The 18,879-nt window shown below is 56.8% G+C and overlaps 1 protein-coding gene across 8 annotated transcripts in view, besides 4 other annotated features; it reads left to right on the forward strand.

The window, feature by feature from the left end:
* The window catches only part of PTH1R (parathyroid hormone 1 receptor), a 26,079-nt gene extending 7,347 nt beyond the window's left edge, over positions 1–18,732 (forward strand). For 4 of the 8 annotated variants that reach the window (XM_011533967.4, XM_011533968.3, XM_047448632.1 and 1 more), the window contains 13 exons: positions 8,840–8,942; positions 10,629–10,802; positions 12,788–12,898; positions 13,007–13,125; positions 13,311–13,405; positions 13,595–13,790; positions 14,236–14,389; positions 15,958–16,018; positions 16,347–16,413; positions 16,699–16,793; positions 17,459–17,600; positions 17,682–17,723; positions 18,203–18,732. In XM_011533967.4, coding sequence (XP_011532269.1) covers positions 8,840–8,942; positions 10,629–10,802; positions 12,788–12,898; positions 13,007–13,125; positions 13,311–13,405; positions 13,595–13,790; positions 14,236–14,389; positions 15,958–16,018; positions 16,347–16,413; positions 16,699–16,793; positions 17,459–17,600; positions 17,682–17,723; positions 18,203–18,589 — 1,746 coding nt within the window. In that variant the 3' untranslated portion in view covers positions 18,590–18,732. The remainder of the gene's footprint in view (positions 1–8,839; positions 8,943–10,628; positions 10,803–12,787; positions 12,899–13,006; positions 13,126–13,310; positions 13,406–13,594; positions 13,791–14,235; positions 14,390–15,957; positions 16,019–16,346; positions 16,414–16,698; positions 16,794–17,458; positions 17,601–17,681; positions 17,724–18,202) is intronic. The other 4 variants (NM_000316.3, NM_001184744.1, XM_017006934.2 and 1 more) reach the window with 3 other exon arrangements.
* Positions 2,818–3,575: an enhancer, noted in NCBI's record as "NANOG-H3K27ac-H3K4me1 hESC enhancer chr3:46929375-46930132 (GRCh37/hg19 assembly coordinates)". NCBI's record gives its function as "activates a minimal SCP1, AML or CMV promoter by ChIP-STARR-seq in primed H9 embryonic stem cells {active_cell/tissue: H9 hESC(primed)}" and the evidence as "EXISTENCE:reporter gene assay evidence [ECO:0000049][PMID:30033119]".
* Positions 3,576–4,333: an enhancer, noted in NCBI's record as "NANOG-H3K27ac-H3K4me1 hESC enhancer chr3:46930133-46930890 (GRCh37/hg19 assembly coordinates)". NCBI's record gives its function as "activates a minimal SCP1, AML or CMV promoter by ChIP-STARR-seq in naive H9 embryonic stem cells {active_cell/tissue: H9 hESC(naive)}" and the evidence as "EXISTENCE:reporter gene assay evidence [ECO:0000049][PMID:30033119]".
* Positions 5,092–5,847: an enhancer, noted in NCBI's record as "H3K4me1 hESC enhancer chr3:46931649-46932404 (GRCh37/hg19 assembly coordinates)". NCBI's record gives its function as "activates a minimal SCP1, AML or CMV promoter by ChIP-STARR-seq in naive H9 embryonic stem cells {active_cell/tissue: H9 hESC(naive)}" and the evidence as "EXISTENCE:reporter gene assay evidence [ECO:0000049][PMID:30033119]".
* Positions 12,800–12,869: a silencer, noted in NCBI's record as "silent region_14297". NCBI's record gives its function as "represses an Ori minimal core promoter by ATAC-STARR-seq in GM12878 lymphoblastoid cells {active_cell/tissue: GM12878}" and the evidence as "EXISTENCE:reporter gene assay evidence [ECO:0000049][PMID:35858748]".

Here is an 18,879-nt window from a genome sequence, read left to right on the forward strand (position 1 = left end):
ACCAACCCCACCCCCGGAGTTTGGTGTGTGACGGCCTGAGGGGTAGACAGGGTGATGGGTGTGGGTGTCCTGAGAGTAAGTCTATGTGTCAGAGCAGGGTTCTGTGGGACTCTGGGCATGGTGTTCATCTGGGTCTGTGTGATTGTGAGTGTCTGAGTCCCTGTGTGAGTTCACGTGTCTGAAGTTGTGGTGCATGACTTGGAGGCGCAGTTGTGTGTGTTTGTGTGTGCCTTTGTGAGCGCCTGTGCACCCGGGCCTGTTGTTTTCTTATGTGTATTTCATAAATGCTTCTGTAGGGCTTTCTACTTGCCATTGTTCTAAGCAATTCACGTACATTAGCTAGTCTAATCCTCCCAACCACCCTCAGAGGAAGGTTATTGTCCCCATTTTTAACTGGCCCGAATCACACAACCACAATGACCATTATTTATCTCATGCCAAGCCCTGTGCCTCTATGTGTGTGTGGAGTATGGGTACCCAGAGCCCCACTGCTCTCCAGGGAAGCTGAGATATATGCAGAGAATCTTCCTGGCTTTGCCCTGGCCCATGTCTGAGAGTAGAAGGACAGATGCCAGTGTTCAGTCTGCCCAGGACCTTGTTGGGGCATGTGAGTTCACTGGACACTCCCTGGCTTCGGGGCCAGAAGATTGGGACTGAAGGGCGGGGGCAGCCTACTCACCCATCCAATATCCTATGGGCCCCCTGGACTCATCTGGGGCCAGCAAGAAGCTGGCAGCCTGCCAGCTCCCTCTCCTGAGCCCAGAGGGCTACTGCCCCCCTTTAGATCTGCACCTATGCCCCTCAAGCCCACCAACCTTATCTCATGGCCGGTCACCAAACCTGTATGCTACCTGCCCAGCTGGTCCCAAGACCAGGCTCACATCTCCAGTGACCTCACATTTGGGGGGCCAAAGAGCATTCCATCTGGAGGACACTGGTTGTGGCCAGACTCAGCTGGTCCATCTTCTGCTGTACAGGAAACAGTTACCTGGGAGCCTGGAGTCTGGGGCGGGGTGGAGTTTGGAGGAAGTGATAGACCCACAGATTGTGAGTAGGAGGCAAAGGGGCACTCTTGTCCTTGAGGATGCGTCCTCCTAAGGACCCCCCCAGCATGTACACATGTGGAGGAGAAACTGCAACAAGAGAAGCTGGAGCTCAGCATGGGGCAGGCCTTGAGTGTGAAGATGTGACCACTGGGTAGGACTCACAAGAGACTGTGGTGTGGACTCACAGGCTGGGAGTGTGTGGGACCTTTTCCAGCCTGCTCCAGGGGCAGCTTGGCCATGTTGCTTGCTTGCTTTTTTTCTTGAGACAGAGTCTCACTCTGTCGCCCAGGCTGGAGTGCAGTAGTGCGATCTCGGCTCACTGCAAGCTCTGCCTCCCGGGTTCACGCCGTTCTCCTGCCTCAGCCTCCTCAGTAGCTGGGATTACAGGCGCCCGCCACCATGCCCAGCTAATTTTTTGTATTTTTAGTAGAGATGGAGTTTCACCGTGTTAGCCAGGATGGTCTCGATCTCCTGACCTCGTGATCCGCCCGCCTCGGCCTCCCAAAGTGCTGGGATTACAGGCGTGAGCCACCACGCCCGGCCGGTTGCTTGCTTTTAAAGACAGGAAGAAGCCAACATGTACAGAACAGTGGCTGTCCCCAGATTCTGAGCTAGAAACTGTCACAGATTGTTTTCTTATTTCATCCATTCACCCAGTGATTTCTACGCTAAAGGGCCCTGAGAGTCACACAGTGAGTCTGTGGCACAGCAGGATTTGAACCCAGATCTTTAGACCTTTGCACTGAATTCCTTCCTCAAAAGCAGCACGAGATTTGCTGCTGGCAGGAGATCCTCATGTCTCACTCTGGGTTTTCTCTTTCTTTTTTCTTTTTTAAAAATTAAATCATGGCCGAGTGCAGTGGCTCACACCTGTAATCCTAACACTTTGGGAGGCCGGGCAGATCACCTGAGGCCAGGAGTTCGAGACCAGCCTGGCCAACATGGTGAAACCCCCATCTCTACTAAGAATACAAAAATTAGCCACGCGTGGTGGTACGTGCCTGTAATCCCAGCTTATTGGAAGGCTGAGGCAGGAGAATCGCTTGAACCCAGGAGGCAGAGGTTGCAGTGAACCGAGATCACGCTGCTGCACTCCACCCTGGGCGACAGAGGCTCTGTAAAAAAGAAAAAAAAAATTAAATCCTTCTGTTATTTTGTTAATTTTTAACTTCACAACTGATATATGAATATGTTCTTATAAAAGAGTCAAACAAGTCTGTAATCCCAGATACTTGAGAGGCTGAGGAGGGAGAATTGCTTGAGCCCAGAAGTTCAAGGCTGCAATGAGCTACGATCATGCCACTTCACTCCAGCCTGGGTGACAGAGTGAGCCCCTGTCTCTGAAAAAAAAAAAAAAAAAAAAAGAGAGAGAGTCAATCAATAAAAATTAAACAGAAGCCCTCCTTGATCACTCCCAAGCCCCAGTTCCCTTCTAGGGAAAACCATTTTTAGCAGTTTGGGTAGAGGGGCGTTCTCCTTCCTCTTTCTGTGTGTTTCCAAATGGTACCTCTTTGTGTACATATCAAGTAGATAATTTTGTCATTTTCTATTTGTCTGGTTGTTTTTAAATAAATGGCATCGGTTTCTAGATAGGGCTCTGCCACATACATATTTTGACGTAAATGTGTGTCTTAGAGATCTTCATTTCAGTAAATATGAATCTATATTTTTAAATGCTGCATAGTATTCCAAAACCTGGGACTCATTAAGTAGTCCATAGGAATGTACATTTAGATCATTTCTGCATAATTTGTGTGTGTGTCTATATGTGCGTGATTCCAGATGGTGGCAGGGAAGCTCCTTGAAATGCCCTCTAGTGTCCCCATGTGACTATTTCCTAGTAGGATATTTCTAGATTTTGTCATTGCTGGGCCTGAGAATATACATATTTTTTATTTTAATAGCATGGCCAAATTGCCCTCTAAAAAGCTTGTGCTGCTTTGTACTTATACAACACCAAGACCAACCAGGAGGGCCTCTCTGCCCACACCCACTGTCTCATAGGATGTTAAGAGGATTCTTTGTGTTTCACCTTTGCTTGGATAGGTGAAAATGGTGTCTCTTGTCATTTTAATTTGCTGATTACCAGTGACTTCTGGGCTTTACAGTGAGAGCTTGCTCGGGGCCATTAACCATCATTCTATGGGTTATTTGTCTTTTTCGTATTGATTTGTTGAAGCTTTTTATATCACCTGCTCTTAAACACATTCACCTCAGCTCTTGAAACGGCTTATGGACAGAGCAGCAGGAGGGTGCCGAGCCCTCCGAGGAACTGGGGTTTTCTTCGGAATGTTTTAATGAGGCGTCAAGTAGCCTCCCTCAGATTCCTGTTGTGGGCCTTCTGGGGACACTCCCTGGTCCAGCCACCACATCAGGAAGGCAGCTATTTCAGAAGGAGAGTCCTCAGGAAAAAGAAAAGGTGGGGCGAGGGTTTTGCAGACCTCTGAAATTGTCTGCAAAATACGGTGTGATTGGGAGAAGGGCGCAAACTTTTGCTCAGGTTTGCAGAAACATCAGAGACCTTCAAACCCTTAAAAGCCCCAACTCTGGGGCCAGTCTTATGCCCGAGGTGAGACCTAGTGGGATCCCATTCTGCTGAGCAGGCGATGGCTTAGATTAGGCCATACTGTTCTTCTGGGCCTTGATTCCTCAACCCAAGTAGGGCCTGCTTATGAAGATCCACCAGGTCGTAGCAGCCAACTCCGCTATCCCAGGCTGCATCCCACTGCCTGCCCCGAAGGCGGCCACGCTGGCTGGCCAGGATGAGAGGCGTCACAGTGCCTCTTCCCCCCCAGCCCCTCCCAGCCCCAAACACAGGCAGCCTGTTCAGGAAAGCCTGGCGAAGGGGAGGAAAAGTCAGCACTTGTCAGCGGTGGCGGGGCAGGACGAGGAGCCTGCTCAGGCCAGCCGGACAGAGAGAGGGCAGCAGGGGTGGGGGAGCAGTCCCAGCCAGCTGGCACGGGAGACATCCAGGGGTGCCAGCATGGGTCCCAGTAGTAGAACCTGGAGGAGGGCTGTAGGAAGGCCAGGAGGTCATGAAGGGGTCTCCTGTTAGCCAGGGTTTTCTCCTTCTGGCTGTGCTGGAGGCATCAACGGCCTGGTTCCCAACACCAGAGCCCAACTGTCCTCTACCCAGTTACAGCTGGGGACAAGCCGCCATCACTGGCATCACCGGCACCTTTATGTCTACACACCTCTGCTCCTAAATCGGCTTCGGGGAGGCTGCCTTAGGGGATCTGCAAAGGGAGACTTGCTTAATGTAGCAGCTAAAATCCAGGATTATGGAAAGATGATACCGTGGCTGGTGCCAGGGTACCCGTGTGGCTGGGCACTTCCTCCTCTCTTTCCCTTCTTCCAAGGCTGCTGCTTCAGTGTCAAGCAGATCTTAGCTCCATCCCTGGCCCTCCTCTTTCTGTGACTCTTGGCCTCAGTGTCCCTGTCTGTAAAATGGGGATGTGGTAGAAGGTGCAGGAGGCATGGGTTTTAAAGCTCCTTGCTGACCATGGGGAGGATGTGCTACAGTGGAGGGTATTGAAGCCAAGCACCATGATGGCTGGGTTGGGGGAGTCAAGTCAGCCCTAATCAGGACCATAGGAGGAGTGTTGGGGGGATATGGGACAGCTGGTGCAGGGCTGGGTGGCCTGTAAGTGGTGGGTATGGACTAAGTGACCCCTGGCCACAGCCCAGCCCCAGTCCCTCAGTCCTCACCCCTGAGACCCAAGATCTGCAGATCCGCTGGATCTAAGGGGACGCAAGCCTGAGTCCTCTGCACCCTGGCGCTGAGCCAAGAAGACAGGAACTCCTCAAGGGAGAGAGGGTTGGAGGGGCGGGGAGAAGGGAGTAGCAGACAGGGGGCATGCCAGGCTGAGAAGAGATACAGCTGTCAGCATTTCCCCTTCATCCCCAGGAGATAAGGCCTCCTCAGTCAGGGCAGAGGCAGAGGAGGGGGTCCTTTTTCCTCCTAAGCTCAAGCTTGGGGCCTCTGGCAGTAACCTTGAATCCTAATGTAAGTCCAGAGTGGATCCAGAAATGCAAGGAGCCATTGGGATACTCTTCCATCCCAAAAGCTTGCCAGGAACACCTTATCTAGCAGGTCCTCCTGTAGTCCCTGCCCCCAGTCCACCCTGGGGCCCCATCTCCCATCTGCCCCTCACTGTCACCTGCTGGACTCAGCCATCTACCCAGATAATCTCCCCCAGCCACCTTGGGTCCCTGGCCTGGCTGGGAGCACCCATGTCACCAGGCAGCAGGGGTGCACATGGCGGGGATGTGACTTGCTGCTGCTGCTGCTGCTCACAGTATCAACAATAGCAACCAGCTTTTCCTGAGCTTCACCCCTGCACAGGCTTGTTGTGAAGTACTTCATTTAATCTTCACAGCAGCTTTTTTTTTTTTTTTTTTTTTTTTGAGATGGAGTTTCGCTCTTGTTGCCCAGGCTAGAGTGCAATGGCGCGATCTCGGCTCACTGGAACCTCCGCTCCCAGGTTTGAGCGATTCTGCTGCCTCGGCCTCCCGAGTAGCTGGGATTACAGGCGCACCACCACACCCAGCTAATTTTGTATTTTTCAGTAGAGACAAGGTTTCTCCATGTTGGTCAGGCTGGTCTCGAACTCCTGACCTCAGGTGATCCACCTGGTTTGGCCTCCCAAAGTGCTGGGATTACTGGTGTTAGCCACCGTGCCGGGCCAACAACAGCCCTATTATTACCCTGATTTTACAGGAAAACTGAGGCACACGGGTTAAGCAACTTTCTCAGACACGAAGCTAGTCAAGGGTGGAGGTGGGATTCACATTGTGGGGCTGGTGGCAGAATCTCCTTGAAGAGGAGGGCACAGCTGGAGGGAGGAGTGAACAGGAGTGGGGGCATTCCAGGCACGGAGCTGTGAGCTAACGTTTGGAGGGGTAGCGCACTTGGTGTGGGGTTGTCCTCCTCTTCTTGGGAAAGTGCTTCCTTAACTTTAACATGAGTTATTCTTGTTGCAATGGCTGTGCTAACAGATAAATAGGTCCTAAAGTTCAGGGAGGCCAGAGGTGGGGCCACCACCCCTATGGATGAATGAAGGAGTGTGGGAGTCATGCGTGCTGGAAGCACATATCTTTCCCTCTCCTGAACATCCCAACTCCAGAAAAAGGGGTGTGCCTCCTCCTGGCCATGGAGAAGGTGAAGCCAACAGCTGGAGGTAGAGGCTGAGCCAATTCCTTGAGCCAGTGAGGGGTGTGTTGGTCAGCTTTCGGTGGTCAGGCTGCCCAATGGCCACTCAGTTTTCAACCCATGACTGCCTGCCTGCAGTCTAGGCCATCAGGGGTGACCCCCAGTCATATCAGTAGGCTGGTCTGTCTGTTGGGAGGCCCAGGGAGTCAGCAAGTCTCTAAGGATGTGTGGGAGCCTCCGTCAGTCACTCCAGAGCTCTCCATCAGCTGGAGAAAATACAGCACAATGGGTTTGTCTTGAGAGGGGTGGAGGTGGCAGAAGAAGAAGGATAGTGGGGAGGGGGTAAGACAACAAGATGGCAAAGGCAGTGTAGATGGTAGTTGTTGGGCAGGTGGCAGTATTGCTGATGGTGCTAATGTTGCCTTGGTGATGCTGGAGGTGGTGGCAGTGGTGCTGGTGCTGGTGATGTACCAGTTGTGATGGTGCAGATGGTGGTGATGGTGGTTATATGGATGGTTACAGTAGTGCTCATGGTGGTAACGGTGATGCCAGTGGTGGTGGTGGTAGTACTGGGAGGGACTGGTGATGCTGGTGTTGGTGTTAGTGACAGTAATGATGGTTATTGATGGAGGTACTAGCAGCAACGATGGAAATGGTAGTTAATGGGTGCTGTAAATGGAGTGAGGTGGACAGGGATCAGCCCCCTCACCAGCATGGATCCCCCATGTCAGAGGCACAGGGAGAGCTTCAGGTTAGTCTTGGAGGCCCCTGGATCCTGGCAAGTCCAACTTGTCCTCCCTTAAGCCATCCCATCATTCTGTGTCTACCTCTGCCCCAGCCAGCTCAGCCATAGCTGGGGAAGCAAAGAGACTAGGATAGAGGAGCTTAGGCCAGCCGCCAGCACGTGAGGATCTGCTCCAGCCCTTCCTGGGGTCCATAGTACCAGCGGAGATCTCAGGGTCCACCTCAGCCCCCAGAGACACCAGAAGCACGGGCCACCCACAGACGCAAAGGCTAAGGAGCTGCCGCCTCACTCACAGACGCACACACGCCGCCCTATGCCCAGAAATACATGTGCACGTGCATGCTCACAAACACGTCCGGCTCGCGTCCCATACTGACAGGCTGGACAGTCTCCATGTGAGAACGCGCACGGACGGGCACACACAAGTGCACGCGCCGGCCACTCGAGAATGCGCTGCCACTCGCGCGCGCACGCACAGGGACGCGCACGCGGCTCCGCTAAGTGGAACCAGCAGAACCCAAGGCCGGCCGAGCCAATTGGAGACTCCTTGGCCCTGGAAGCCCTCGCTGCTGCCGCCAAGAGACGCGGTCAATTAACTTCTCCCTGCAGCCAGGCTCTCTGACCCGGCCTGCCCGCCCCTCTCGCCGGTGCCCGCCCCATGCCCGACCCGCCTTCTTCCTCCCCTGCCTCCTCTGGGTCCTCCCGCCCTTCACAGCCATGCTCGGACTGCAGGGCCCCGGCCCCGCCTTGGCGCGTCTGAAGGATGCAGCTCTGCCGCGGAGCTGAGGAGACGTAGCCTTCTGGGGTAGGGATGGAGGGGGTCGTCTCAGGGGACATACCCCTGCCCAGGGGTCTGAGGAAACACGACCCTGAATTAAGAGGGATGGGGCTGAGGGCTTCACAGCCCCGCCCTGGGGAGGTTTCAGAGACCGCCTTAACCTCTGCGGGTCACATTCACGGGAATGGCTGGGCTAGGCACACCAGGCTGCTCCCAAGTCAGAGGACAGAGGCTGAGACCCCTCAGCAGCCACCTGCTCTGGGTGAGCCTCCACCCGCATGATATTTCATTTCCTTTCTTATAATGAGGCCAGTGAGTCCCGGTGGGTGGCAGCCAGGGCCCAGGGTGTGCAGGTTGGAGGGAAGGGAAAGGACATTCCAGGCAGAGAACAGCAGGAGTGAGGGCCTGAGTGTCATCAGAACTCCGAGTCTGGATGGAGGGAGCTCCCAGATAAGCAGTGGAATGAGAGGGACTCCCACCCCCAGCCAGCACCAGAGTGCCCAGCCCAACCCAGGCCGCATGCCAACAGTTCCTCCATCCTCTCTTTCTCTCTCTTGGGATTGTAAGGAGGGGAGGCATTGAGGCACTCACCGTTCACTGGGGACAGCATTGACTGGGGAGCTGGGCCAAGATGGAAACTGGTGACTCCCAAGACCCCCCAGGGTGCCAGGACTTGAAGGACTCCAGGCTGGGTTTGTCTCCCCACAGTTCACCACTCCTTATCCACCCCCTGCCCCCGACTCATGTCCCCAGCAGGCAGCCAGGATCCTGTGTGGATCCATCCTGGGACATTCCATTCCAGTCCCATGTACCCCTGGGGAAAGGACTGGACAGAGAATATCAGTGACTGCAGCCTACAGGGTTACTGGCGGGCAGGCAGGAGAGAGCCCCTGCTTTTTCCCTTCGATCAGGCAGGCCCTACCCCTCAGAGCCACAGCTTCCCATCTGTAAGGTGTGAGCTCCATAGAGCAGATTCCCCACATGCAGGGGAAATCCCACCTTCCCTCTAGAGTCAGGGCCTTTTGAAAGGGGGTAGTCCCTCTGGGAAATTGGGATGTCTCTGGGACCTGCTGCTGCGCCGGAAAGTCCTGCCTGTGGTCTGACCTTCGGCTTGGCAGGTGGATGCAGATGACGTCATGACTAAAGAGGAACAGATCTTCCTGCTGCACCGTGCTCAGGCCCAGTGCGAAAAACGGCTCAAGGAGGTCCTGCAGAGGCCAGGTGGGGGTCAAAGGAAGAGGGTCTGGGGATGAGGTCAGGTGAGGGAGGGGCCAGTCAAGGGCGGGACCCAGGATACAGAGCCAGGTGAAGGCTCTCTGTGGGGGCGGACTTAGGTAAAGGGGGCCAGGCCAAAGTGAGAACCAAAGTGGGGTGCGTGGTGCAAGAGTGGAGTCAGCAGGCTCGGGCATCCATGGCTTGTCCTAAGTCTCGAGCTCAGGTCCCTGTGTTGCCCACAACCAGCACTCAGACTGATAGCTGTCGGGTTAATCTCATCAACTGAAGAGGCCCAGACCCCAACTGACTGAAGGAGAGGAGCCGCTTCCTCCCCTGACAAGCCCTTAGGGTTCTGCAGGGGTTGAGGCTGGTGATCGCCCAGAACACAAGCACACAATGACAAACACACTCTGTGGCACACAGATTTTGCTCACACTCACAGAGACTCACATGGTCTCTGCAGTCACAGCCCCACCGATGCCAGCCCCAACAGTGGCTCCCAGTCACATCGAGATCTGGGGGGTCAGATGGGCCCCCTCATTCTGGGTCCTGAACCCAGCCCCTCTTCTTAATTGTGAAAGCCTGGAGGAGCCTCTCTTTGCCCCTCATCATCCACCATGGAGCCTCTCGCTTCCTACTGTACCCCACCCTGCTACCCACATCCCCACACTGAGGCCCGAGGGTGGAGGCAGGAAAATGAGCACAGTCATTCTCATCCCAGTCCAGGCTGCTTGGACTCAGCTTCCCATCATTGCCACAGACCCGACATGTAAGGACCAGGGGGGCCTAGCTTGGGCGGTGGCTGAAGGAATACAAGTCAGAAAATGAGGAAGACTTTGTGGCTAGGAAGAAAGACCTCTCCAGCCTGGGCAACATAGTGAGACCCCATCTCTAAAAAAAAAATTTAAAAATTAGCGAGGTATGGTGGTGCACACCTGTAGTCCCAGCTATAGGGGAGGCTAAGGTGGGAGGATCACTTGAGCACAGGAATTTGAGGCTGCAGTAATTTGTGATCATGTCACTGCACTCCAGGCTGGGCGATAGAGGGAGACCTTGTCTCAAAAAAAAAAACAAAAAAAACAAACAAACAAAAAAAAAAAACGTCCAGCATCTCTCCAATGAGAAGAGAGGCCAGGCTCCATCTCAGATTAGGCATCTCAACGGCCACTGTGGAAGCTGTGAACCACATACTTGAGGATCCAGGGCAGGGGATGGGGTGGTCTTCTCTGTCCACTCTTGACTGTACCACCTTGCTCTTGTCTTCTCACCACCAGCTTCTTTACCTGCACAGCACTCAGGCCAGACTTAATTTTCGCTATGTAACCTGTCCATTGACATCACCCACTCTGTCTGCTTTCACCGTGCGCCCCCTGGTGGGGCCTTCACTGCTGCGTGGCCTTGGCCCCCACCCACTCCTGACTCCTGGGTGGGAGGATACCACCTCTGCTCTGTCTTGCCCAGTTTAGTGCTCACCCCACTAGCTGATCCTGCACTCCCATTCCAACCCTGGGGGACAATCTCCACCTCCTCTTATTACTTCACCTGGCAAGCACTTTACACTTTGTTAAACACCTCCTCACCCATCGTCTCAGATCTCCCAACAGCCTAGGTGTCACCAGGGCAGGAGACAACCCCCCCATTGTACAAAGGGGGAGTCTGAGGCCAAAGAGTACCCTGGGTCTCCTGTTGTAGCACAGCTGACAGCCATCATTACCACCCTGGTTTCTCCAGCCAGCATAATGGAATCAGACAAGGGATGGACATCTGCGTCCACATCAGGGAAGCCCAGGAAAGATAAGGCATCTGGGAAGCTCTACCCTGAGTCTGAGGAGGACAAGGAGGCACCCACTGGCAGCAGGTACCGAGGTACGTCTCTGCTTCCATGCATCCAGCTGGCATGGGCTTGGATCCACCCACCCCCATTGCACTGTCCCTCTGATGTGAGCTCATGCTTCTTGGCTCTTATAGAAAGTAAAAGGCTGCAGCCACATCCCCAGGCAAGGGGCTGGGAGAAGACAGAGTGTAGTGGGAAGGAAGGGGAGCTAGATGGCTCAGGCCTCAGAAAGAGATGAACAGAGAACTCTCCAGCACCACACCAAGAGTGGACCCAGGGCTACGGTCCCACCCATGGAGAGAAAGAGAGATGACAGAGAACCCTGGGGGACAGAGAGGCAGGGAGAGATACACAAAGACAGACAGATAGTGACAGAGAAAGACGGGGAGAGGCATGGAGACAGAGATCAACAGAGGCAGGGAGAGACAGTCACAGAGATAGAGGGGACCAGGAGGCACACACTGAAGTCTGGGCTCAGTGTGTCAGAGGAGGTACATGGGGACACATAGTGGATAGGGCCACAGAAATAGAGAAGGAGAGGAGGGCAGTGGCAGAGGGTGGGGCCAGAGGCAGTGGGACAAGGAGGGGAGAAGAGAAGGGAGGGAAGCAGATGAGGAAAGGCAGACAGAGCCCAGGCTTTGGCCACAGGGCCGGTTTCAGCCGGCCGGGTGGGCAGCAGATTCCAGATGGGCCACATCTGGGAGGCTGTGGTCACCCTGTGGCTCCCTGGGGACCAGAGGGAATTGTGGGCCTGGCTGGGTGGGGCTGGGAATATGGCGCCCAGGACAGAGAGCCTTTCACCAAGCCAGGGCGGGTCCAGCCATCAAGGCAGCCTTCCAGGGTGGCTGGAGAGTCCTGTGGTTGGAGCCCTACAGAGGGAGAGAAGGGGGCTGCAAGCTGGGAGTGGAATGTGGAAGATACAGAGGCTGGGGACCCTCCAAGGTCACTTAGCCTCCCTGCAGTGAGGCTGGGGCTCCAAAGTGGGATGTCACCCTACTTTGAATCCCACCATTAGCACTTAGATTTGGGGAATCGATCTCCCCCAGCAGTGGCCGTGGGAGTCTCACAGCAGGTACTCAGGGCAGGCATTGAGTGGTGGTAGAAGCATGGGCCAATGTGGTTAATCCCAACTTCCCAATGAGGAAATGGAAATAGAAAGACTTGGGACACCTGCGTGAGGTCAGCAGCTCCTTGGAGTCCAGCTGGCACTAGAAACCAGACCTCCTGCCTCCTGTCCATGATCCCAGGGGAAGGGGCACACAGGGAGCCTCCCAGCTGAGGGAGAGTTAGTCTGGGTACTTGCCCTTCTTCAGAGACACCTGGAAGGTGGTTCCAAGAGCAGAGAGAAAGGCGAGAGGCCTGGCCTGGGGCTGAGCACTTGAAGAGGACAGGGCCCTGTGTTGTATGACCTCAGCAAGTTGCCTACCTCTCTTGGCCTCTGTCAGCCCATCTGGAAAATGGGGCCAGTGCCAGTACCTGTATCGCAGAGGCCATAGTAAATTCTATGAGGTGGGTACAGCCCACAGAAATACATTTTCTCCAGAGTGCTCCAAAGCCTGAATTTTCCTGCTTGGGGCACACCTGTCCCTGCAGGAACCAACAACCACTGATGGGCCGGGTGCAGTGGCTCATGCCTGTAATCCCAGCACTTTGGGAGGCCGAGGCAGGCAGATCACCTGAGGTCAGGAGTTTGAGACCAGCCTGACCAACATGGAGAAACCCCATCTCTACTAAAAATACAAAATTAGCCAGGCATGGTGGCGCATGCCTGTAATCCCAGCTACTCGGGAGGCTGAGGCAGGAGAATCGCTTGAACCTGGGAGGCGGAGGTTGCAGTGAGCTGAGATCACGCCATTGCCCTCCAGCCTGAGCAACAAAAGCGAAACTCCGTCTCAAAAAAACAAAACAAAACAAAAACAAAAACAAACAAACCACAGATGTATTCATCCTTCTGGGTCACTAATCATGGCCTTGACTCTCCCTTGGTATCCCCTACCCTGTCTGTCTCTGGGCACAGGGCGCCCCTGTCTGCCGGAATGGGACCACATCCTGTGCTGGCCGCTGGGGGCACCAGGTGAGGTGGTGGCTGTGCCCTGTCCGGACTACATTTATGACTTCAATCACAAAGGTGAGGCCTGCTGGAAGGGGTGGGGATTACAAGGAGGCTGAGACTTGGAGCTAGGGGTTCAGTGCCTCGAGACCTCCCTGCCGGCCCTGACCTCCCATGGACCTGCAGGCCATGCCTACCGACGCTGTGACCGCAATGGCAGCTGGGAGCTGGTGCCTGGGCACAACAGGACGTGGGCCAACTACAGCGAGTGTGTCAAATTTCTCACCAATGAGACTCGTGAACGGGTGCGAGCCTTTCTCCTCCCCAACCTGACCAGGATAAATTCACTCCCACCCCACGGGTGACCCCTGACCCAGCCCTGACCCCTGACCTTGACTCCTCCAGCAACCTTACCCTGGCCTCTTGCTCTTACCCTGATGCTCTCCCTGGGTCCCAGGGCTCTGACTGTGTCTCCCCCCGCCCCGCACAGGAGGTGTTTGACCGCCTGGGCATGATTTACACCGTGGGCTACTCCGTGTCCCTGGCGTCCCTCACCGTAGCTGTGCTCATCCTGGCCTACTTTAGGTGGGCGGGGCGGGGCGAGAGGCGGCGGGACATGGTGGAGGGGGGGCGGTGGCCGAGGTCTGATGCGACCCCCTCCCTGCACCCATCACCCCCGGCGGGTGTCCCTACCTACGGCGCACAACCCAGCTTCCTGTCCACCCACCGCGCGTCCCCGTGCCCCCACCCACGGTCATGTCGCGCGCCCCGCAGGCGGCTGCACTGCACGCGCAACTACATCCACATGCACCTGTTCCTGTCCTTCATGCTGCGCGCCGTGAGCATCTTCGTCAAGGACGCTGTGCTCTACTCTGGCGCCACGCTTGATGAGGCTGAGCGCCTCACCGAGGAGGAGCTGCGCGCCATCGCCCAGGCGCCCCCGCCGCCTGCCACCGCCGCTGCCGGCTACGTGAGTACCCCTCTGCCCGCCCGCTCCCGGTGCCGCCACTGGCCTCGTGGGGCCCCGCCCCGCCCCGCTCCAGCCCGGCCCTCGCCCTGCCCGCCTCCTGCCAGCGCCACTGGCTTCAGCCACTCAAACCCGTCTTATAGGGTCCCTCGCAACCCTCAGCTCTGCCGCCGACCCTGCTGCCAAGGGCTCCGAGTGTCCCACACGCCCCGCGCTGCCATCAAGGCTCCTACCTCAACCCAGTACCCTCTAGCCACTCTACCTCTTCACTTTGCCTCCTGCCCCTGACACCGCATCCCCCTGAGAGAGCCCCCCAAACGAAGCCTGCCCCTTCCTGGCCTGTTTGGCCGGCACCACTTGTCCTCTCCTGCCGCCCCAGCCCCCCAGCCCAGCCCTGACTTCCCGGAGGCAGGCCCTGCCCTCTGACTAACACCAGCTGGTCTCTTAGGCGGGCTGCAGGGTGGCTGTGACCTTCTTCCTTTACTTCCTGGCCACCAACTACTACTGGATTCTGGTGGAGGGGCTGTACCTGCACAGCCTCATCTTCATGGCCTTCTTCTCAGAGAAGAAGTACCTGTGGGGCTTCACAGTCTTCGGCTGGGGTACGCGGGCACAGCGGGTAGCGAGGTGCCGGCAGGGGTGGGACCGTGGGTGACAGGGAGAGGGCAGCCCCTGGGGGGAGGCGCCCACACAGCACATCCCGCCCCAAGTGGAACAGCAGGAGAGAGGCCTGCCGCCCTTCTGTGATCCTGACCCTATTCCAGGCTCAGGAAACAGCAGGGCTTGGCCAGGGATCAGGTTCACCTGAGGTTAGATTCACCTGAATTGAGGCTCGGCCCAGGAGAGGGAAAGGAGGAACCATCAGGCCAAGATTCAGCTCAGGATCAGAGTAGGATACTGGGTCAGAGGTCAGCCTGGGGCTGGAATTGGGATCCGGGACCCTCCCTCTACCCTGAGCCCCATGGACTAGGCCAGCATCTATTACCCCACCAGTCCCCTTGCTGGGATGGGGCGCGGGGCTGCCCACACCATTGCCAGCCTCAGCAGGCCTGCGGGGTCCATGGCCCAGAGCCGTGGGCCCAGCACCTCAGCATCACCTGAGCTTCACAGCACCTCTGCAGAATGGGTTGCTGGAGCTGCGCACTCCTCCCAGCCCCCCACAGGCTCTGGGATCCAGTTACCGATAATTGTCCATTATTGTTGGCAGCTGCAGAGCTTGGCTGGGCTCCGGGACAACTGGCCAGACTGCAGAGGGGTGGGCCGGGTGGCTGGAGCCCTCTCTGCACTCAGCACCCAGAGGCCCACAGGTCAACAGCCACCGCCTCCCTGCCCCTCGACATACATCCTGACCCTGACCTCACCATGACAAGCCCCAGAGTTGGGGAGACCTGGGCCCAGTCCCAGGAACAGATGCAGGCTCTGGGGCTAGGAGGTGTCCTAGTGGACTGGCGACATGCAGATTGGGAGTGCATAGAATCCTGGGGCACAGGAATGTCACAGCTCTTTTTCTTACCGTAAAGCCAGGTCATACCCTATCCCTCCAAGGGTGTACCAGGCCTAGAGTCAAGTTGGTGGTATGTGGTCGGGGAGGACCTGGGGCTCCCTTCCCAGAGGCACAGCTCACCCAAATATACCATGTGCCCCTTGAGCTGGCGCAGGCCAGGACATACTGACACACCGAGGTCTCCCTGTGGCCTCTGCTTGGGACAAAACCTCTCACCCCATCCAGTCTCATCCACGAGGGCTAGGACCTTTCAAACCAGGTTGTGGGGGGTGCTGTGCTGGGGCAAAAAAAAATGCGGAAAATAGGCTGTCTCCCCATGGGAGCTGCAAGTCCAAAGCAGTGCCCTCTGCAGAGGGAGTGGACAGGGCATGGATCAGTTAGTGATACCTTATTATTATATTATGCCTTGTACCCCATATATGTGCATATGACATGGAGCCAAGATGAGGGCAGAGGCTGAGCTGGGTTTTGAGGGCTGGAGCCCCAAGGGGAAGCTGTTAGGGCACCACATGGCAGAGTGTGGCTCTGTCACCAAGTGGACCAAGTGCCCAGTGTCAGGGGTTCAGGGCAATGGTGGGGTAAGCTGGGGGTCATCGAGGATGAGGGGGGAATGACCTTGTGGACAGCAGCCACAGTCCTGCACACTGTCCCCCTCTGTGCCCACAGGTCTGCCCGCTGTCTTCGTGGCTGTGTGGGTCAGTGTCAGAGCTACCCTGGCCAACACCGGGTAGGTCCAGGTGGAGAAGGGGCCCAGGCAAGAAGCACCCCTGGGTCCCTTTTCTTCCAGGAAGCATGTGAGAGGGCCTCCTGTACCCTGGCCTCAAACGGCCCAGCCTCAGGAGTTCTCAGTCCAGCCTCAAGCCAGGAGCACCCTCAGGGTCACAGGAGGCTACTTCCAAAGAGGCCTGTGAGGGAGGCCTCAGGCCTGGCCACACCCAGCACCCCTGCCCTGTGTCCTCAACAGCTAATGTCAGACCAGACCAAATCTGGGTCTCTGTGGGCAGTCTTAGGATGGGAACAGGAGGGATGGGAGCTAATGCCTCAACCTCCCCCAGGTGCTGGGACTTGAGCTCCGGGAACAAAAAGTGGATCATCCAGGTGCCCATCCTGGCCTCCATTGTGGTGAGCAGGGGTGGGCTGCTGGCCACAGGGGTGGGTGGGATGTGCGCCTGCGTCCCCTGGAACCAGCCCCTGACAGGGACCTAGGAGGCTTCCCTGGACCCCAGTGTCAGAGCTACAGAGGCCGGAGGACCAGCTGATCCACACTCCAGCCCAGAAAGGAAAACCAAGGGCTCAAGGAGCCACCCAGAGATGCAGTGACAGAGCAGAGCCTATGGCCGTGGCTGCCAGGCCTTGCCCCGCCCCACTAGGGTGCAGCCTCCAGACGCAGCCCCCTCACTCCCACAGCTCAACTTCATCCTCTTCATCAATATCGTCCGGGTGCTCGCCACCAAGCTGCGGGAGACCAACGCCGGCCGGTGTGACACACGGCAGCAGTACCGGTGAGCCCACCATGCCTGCCATGCCCTGGCTCCTCAGGGGTCCCTGAGTCCTGGTACCATGTACCCCAGGAAAGACAGTGGCCCCATGAATGATCCTGGGGCAAGGGAAAGGACCCAGCGTCTGACTCCCTGGCTGTCCTCACCCACCTGGCCTGCCCAGCAGTGATGGGAGGCCCTAGGGCACCCCAAAGCCAGCCTGCCCACTTGTACCAGGCCCTGCACTAGAGCTGGAGTCTGTGAGTGTGCAACGAACTTGAACCTCTCCTCAAAGAGTTGGTTGCAGGGGGTCTGAGGAACAGGTAGGCGGTGAGTGGCCCCGGGAAGGCTGCAGCTCAGCTGAAACCTGAGGAGCGGACTGTGGGATAGTGAGGTTCGACCGTGGAGGGGAGTGCTTGCCAGCTGAGGGCTCCACAGGTGCGAAGGGCCCAGGGACAGGGGGACTGTCATTTGAAGTCCGCTCCGGGACACCGCTGAGAACCAACGGGCCCTATTAGCACTTAGCCAGGACAGCAGCCATGCAGGTGAACTGGGTTGTCCTCCCATGGTGACTGGAGCCCTGGGCCCCTTTGAGCTTCCGGAGCCTGGGGCTCGCAGGGTGGGGGGTGGCACAATGCTTGTTGAAGGGGAAGTGGCTTGGCCCTGACCTACCTGCCCCGCTGGCCCAGGAAGCTGCTCAAATCCACGCTGGTGCTCATGCCCCTCTTTGGCGTCCACTACATTGTCTTCATGGCCACACCATACACCGAGGTCTCAGGGACGCTCTGGCAAGTCCAGATGCACTATGAGATGCTCTTCAACTCCTTCCAGGTGCGCAGTGCTGGCCCGGGCCTGGCTGAGGGTGGGAGGGGTTCCGGGGGCAGGCCTGATTCGAGACACCCCTCTTCACAGGGATTTTTTGTCGCAATCATATACTGTTTCTGCAATGGCGAGGTAAGCAGGAGACAGTGTTGGCATAGGGCAGGGTGGGGCAGATACCCCAGAGGCTTCCTCAAGGCTCATTTCTCCATTCTTCCACCCTGTTATTTCTTTGTTCCTCCAAGAACACCCCTGAGGACATTCTGAAAGCAGAGAAGTCTTTCCAGATGATGCAGGTTCAGGATGTGCTAGGATGTGGGGACTCTTCAGTCACTGGCATAGCCAAGTGTCTTCCCAGCCCCATGGTTCAATTATCTGTGACCCAGATTGGAGGACTCAGCCACCTTTGGGGCAATTTGAGCCTTGTAGATTCTGGGTGTGTCGGCTGCCTGTAGCCAAACACCCTGTTGTGAGGATGGGATTTCACTTGGCCTTGGAGTTTCCCAGGAGTCCCCTATTCCCATTTTCATTCCGTGCTGGGTGTCCAGGGGCCGGGATGGGGCATCGCTGGGGTTGGGAGACACACCTGACTGCCGCACCCTTACTGCCCCAAGGTACAAGCTGAGATCAAGAAATCTTGGAGCCGCTGGACACTGGCACTGGACTTCAAGCGAAAGGCACGCAGCGGGAGCAGCAGCTATAGCTACGGCCCCATGGTGTCCCACACAAGTGTGACCAATGTCGGCCCCCGTGTGGGACTCGGCCTGCCCCTCAGCCCCCGCCTACTGCCCACTGCCACCACCAACGGCCACCCTCAGCTGCCTGGCCATGCCAAGCCAGGGACCCCAGCCCTGGAGACCCTCGAGACCACACCACCTGCCATGGCTGCTCCCAAGGACGATGGGTTCCTCAACGGCTCCTGCTCAGGCCTGGACGAGGAGGCCTCTGGGCCTGAGCGGCCACCTGCCCTGCTACAGGAAGAGTGGGAGACAGTCATGTGACCAGGCGCTGGGGGCTGGACCTGCTGACATAGTGGATGGACAGATGGACCAAAAGATGGGTGGTTGAATGATTTCCCACTCAGGGCTGGGGCCAAGAGGAAAAACAGGGAAAAAAAGAAAAAAAAAAGAAAAAGGAAAAGGAAGCGGTGTGTGGCTTCCTGTGGCCCAAACTGGGGACTCACTCCGAGAGGGTGGGGCTGGGAGCCAGGGAAAGCTGTGGCGGGAGGGCCATGAGTCATGGAGGAATCCTCAGGTCTCACTTCAGAATGGGGAGGGATCTGGGGCCTGTG

Source organism: Homo sapiens, chromosome 3, assembly GCF_000001405.40.
Source record: "Homo sapiens chromosome 3, GRCh38.p14 Primary Assembly".
NCBI lineage: Eukaryota > Metazoa > Chordata > Mammalia > Primates > Hominidae > Homo > Homo sapiens.